We start from the raw sequence: 5,014 nt of genomic DNA on the forward strand, positions 1-5,014 counted from the left end.
GTTTGACTGGAATTGTGTTAGATTTTTGCAAGAGAATATAAATGATTTATGTGAAATATTCTTTGAACTCAGAGAAGTTGTCATTGTTTAGTGGTACTGTCAGGTGTACAGAAAGGCAATTTTACATTAAAAACAGAATAATCCTTGGAGTAAACAATGAAGTGCTAAGCATTATTGACATCAAAATATAGGGTATGTGAAGTAATTACTGTATGTCATCACAAAATGGAGAGATCAACATGAAACATAAAAATCAACTTTAATATTTGTTTCTTAGAAAGGATCACATCCTACTTGCTCTTTTTATCTTGTTCCTAATGTGATTGTCATACTTCTGACCACTATAAATACTAAAGTAGAAATTCACTACCTTGAAATTCCTACCTGAAATATGAAAAGGTTACTGAAGTTTTATAAAGAGTTCTTAGTCTATCAAGTTTTTGACATTATTTTCCAAAAAATCTTTAGAATATTCAAACGTTCATTTTCAGATCTGAATTAACATTTTTCCCGTCATGCCCAATTTGATATTTAAATTAGCAGAAAGCATCGCAGTAATGAAACTGTAAGTCACGTTTTATAAACCAAATAATATATATAGTATTATAAATATATTTAGAAGGCTTTACATTGTATTCAAATATGAATATTAATGATTTGGCAGTGGGTTATGTTTGCAGTCCCCAGGTTAACATTATCACACTCACCCATATATTTTGAATCTCACCAACATTATTATAAATAATATCTTTTTTACCATGGGAACTCTTACATTAAAAATGTTGTTATAGAATGTGCATATTTTTGCATAATACAAATATGCAATCAAAAGGAAAATACCTTGAAAAATAGCTTAGTCAGTTTTTAATCTTAAGTGTGTTGAACTTTGATTTTCCAATTCTCTTTAATCACAATGTTTAGTAAATCATGAAGTGAAGAAGAAAACATGTATTTGATTTTAATTTCATTATTACCATTCATTGCAAATGAAAACATTTGTTAACAGAAAATGTATAAACCTTAGTATTTACTCATTTGTTTAAGAAACACTTACTGAGTACCTTTACAACTAAATTAAGAGCCCATTCATGATTTCCTGGGTGAGTATTCTTTGACAGTTTTGGCTACCACAGGTGGCTGGCTAGTAAAATTGTTTAGAAAATTGACTACAGTAATGTCAAGATTATTGTTCCATTGTTTTTATAGATCAATTAACCTTGATCTTTCTAGTCCTTTAGTCTTAGTTATCATTCTCACAGATATTGGCTTGAAAAATATTAAAGAAATCAAGGATAAAGAAATAGGGAAAATATTATGAATGGTTCAACAAAATTCTGTGATGTTTACAAAAAATACTATTTTAGAGTGTGTAGCCTCTATCTCTAGACAGAGAGCATTACGAGATTTGCAGTTATTAAAATAATTGTAAAAGGTTGAAGCTGATAATCGGGGGAAAATTGAGGTGATTAAAATAAATGGTGTAGCATGAGTAGAAATTTATGCGAGAGAGCCTTGAGTCAAAGAATTGAAGTTAAGCATAAAACACCTAAGCCCAAAATCTAATAAACCTGTGCTTCTATGGGTGGTTGGGTGAGAAAGGAGTCAGGGAATCAATGGAGCTGAGATTATGTTTGAAGGGCTGCTTTAGCAGTCAGAACATTTTTATTTCAGGTCATGGTCTGCAGGCACCATAGCTGACACTCAGATATCTGGCCCTGTGTGAGGAAAAGGATGGAACCACTGAATGGCTGAAACCAAGATGATCACAGGCAGAGTGCAAAGACAAAGATGCCTTGTTTTCTCCGTCCAAATTATATCTTACAGTCAAGCAACAAAACTGTCTTACATAAGCACCATTCTATCTTTCTGTTTCACAGTTAGAATCTATAAGGTTACGAGCAAAAACTTCTGACAAAATAAGCTCACTCACATTCAGGAGGGTAAGCACATGAGGTAGAAAATGTGAGTTAATGAGAGAGTGAAAGTTTTTCCATCTCATGGTGTGCAAGAATTAAAGACTTCTGAATAATTAGAGTTGGCAAGAGCATAATGTTCAGAGGAAGAATGTTCATAGCAATGGAATTAATAAAAGTTGCTTATTTGTGGTACAATATTAGCATTATTTAATATACTAAACTAAACAATTGAATGAGCTGGCAGTGATTTCAATCATATAAGTGATTTGATTCATCTTTTCACTGAGAAACACTAACATAACAAACTATATAAATTAAGTATGAAATAATTGTGCTCTTGCTGAAAAAGAATCAATTCTTCAAAAAAAAATCCATTAACTGATGAGCTTGTAAAAATAGTTCCTACATATAAGGATTTCTTTAAAAATTATGTATAAATTCTATTTTAAATGCCGATAATTTTTCCTTTACTAATTCAATGACTACTCCTCAAGAGCTTGTGTCTTCAAAAGCAATTCCAAATGCAGATTGTTTCAGTGGCTCACAACATGTTTATGCGATTTTCATGGACTCTGTCAGTAGTCTTGCTATTGGTACTGTGTGTGTGCAGAAACTGGGGGGCATGAGGTGTTTGTCAGGAGGTCTTCTGAATTTAAAAGGAAGAGGAATCTTGATTTAAACTGTGTATCAGAGACTGTAAAATGACAAGTGAAGGTGACTTACAGAAGCAATTAGGGTTTCCCAATGTCTAAAACAAAACTAAAACTAAACAAACAAAAGTAGAGAATTAATTGTGAACATTTGAAATCAGATTTCACCCCCACAGTTGGCTAGAACCTAGTGACAGCCATTACCTTCAAAAAGGTACATGTTCTCCAGCCCTGTTGTTTCTGTCATCTCTTGGTCTCTAGACATATGAGTTTGCCACTATCAATATTAGTTTTGGGAATGACTCTAACAAATATTATTAAAGGAGTGATTTATGTACGCTTAGGAATGAAATCGGTAATCATCATTAAGTGTAAGTCATACCAGACTAAACTAATTTCATCTGATGATGGAGAAGCTAGTCTGAGGAATCAGAAATAATCATTCAGCAAACAACATTAACTTCTTTCATTCTATTTTCCACCAGTGTGTTTTGGTGGCATGCATAGATAATCACATTTTTAATAAGAAAATGCTCTCTTACTTTTAGTTCAAGAAATGGATTTGTGGATTTTTATTATATGTTTATTATATTTGTTACTGTGTTTCTTTGCCAGTCATAAAAAAGTGGTTGCCTTGCTCAGTTATAAATGATACTCATTGTGACAAATAGCTCATTGAATAACTTCCTTCCATTTTATAAATTTTCAGAAATTGAATTCTACCAGTTTCTTATCCTTTCCATGTTATTATCTAATAGGAAAGTGGAATAAAATAATTAATACTTATTTTTATATTCAGAGAAATTGAATATTTGTCTTAAGAGCTGCAGTTTCCTACCACTGATTTGCTATTAATGACATATTACCAGGGATATTAAACTAAGATCTCAATATTAAGTGCTTTTCTCTTTATTAACAAAATGAATATGTATAAAGTGGATATATCAGTACTTAATGTAATTAAGTTTAGAATATATTCTTTTATAAGCAATGCTTATAACAATCTACAAGCTTAGCTGTTATAGGCAACTTCTATATGAAGTTTCTCTATAAATGATTTATCCATTTTTTAAATATCATACTTCTTAGCAACATCAACAAAACAATTATTAAACTGTAGTGTTCTTGAGATTATACAATAAGTTCCCAAACCATGTTACCTTGTTACAATTTAATGTCATAATTTTGGTGGTTCACAAAAGAAACACTCATAAAAATTATTGGTAATGGATGTGTAGAACTTTGGCAGCTTTTCCCAACAAATTGGTTTTCAAGGAAATCAAAAGGTATGTTGCTGCTCTACATTTACATTTAACAGATCATTTTTACAGTAAACTTGGTGATTTTACAATTTACATTAAAAATATTTTCATTTTTGAGGAAAAAATAGGAAGATAGAAATATTATATATGGGTACTTACAAGAGGGCAAGAAAACCAGGGATAAAGTCACAGTACTACAATGAGTGAAAAGAAACGGGTCTGAATCTGTTTTTAAATTGGATATTGTGAAATAGAAAGCATTGTGAAATAGAAAGCATTGTGAATGTGAAGAGAAAATGAGAAAGGAATTAAAGATGAATTGAAGACTTTGAACCTGGGGAATCGACAAAGTGTCTATGCTATTGGAGTAATTAGGGATACGTGATTAATCGCGAATGGAGGGAGTCAGTGAAGGATATTTGTGTTTAGTCTCCTAGCTACTGAGATACACAAAATGGATGCACCTTCAGTCAAAAGGACTGAGAGGCATATATGGATTTTCAGTTCCTGGAGGGTAGTGACCATGTACATTTCACCATTTTTTCACTCTGAGCCTAATGCGTACAGAGTATACAGTAAATATTTGTGTAATGATTGAAGGAGACACACACAGTCCGGCATACATACACACACATTACACAATTTGTGTATAATCATATGTATCAAACACATATATTATACTACAACATATCATATATCTATATCCATATATACATTATACTACACTATTTAAAATTAAGGGCACTGAATGTGGCTTTGAGATCATGGATGAAATTAAGGGAAGTATGAAGATGAGAGTAAATTCTTAGAGGTGACTAAGTAATGAAAGTATAACAGTGAAATAGGAAGAAGTGGATTGTTAACCTGACCAACAATTCAGGTCATTAATCAAAAGGCGAAGATTTGAGAAAACTCTTCTAAGGACTAGTTTAACCTAAGACTGACAATGTTTAATACAGCAGTCAGTGTCCACATGTGGCTTTTGAGCACATAGAATCAGGTCAGTCAGACTGAGATGTGCTGTAACTTTAAAATATATACAAAAATATGAAGTTAGTAACAAAATGTGCAATCCCTCATTTATGACTTATATATACATTGTATTAAATATAACATTTAAAACTAATTTCACCTATTTCTTTTTGACTTTTTAATGGGGCTACTAGAAAATTTCAGTATTCAAAGG

Source organism: Homo sapiens, chromosome 2 (genome assembly GCF_000001405.40).
Source record: "Homo sapiens chromosome 2, GRCh38.p14 Primary Assembly".
NCBI classification, from domain to species: domain Eukaryota; kingdom Metazoa; phylum Chordata; class Mammalia; order Primates; family Hominidae; genus Homo; species Homo sapiens.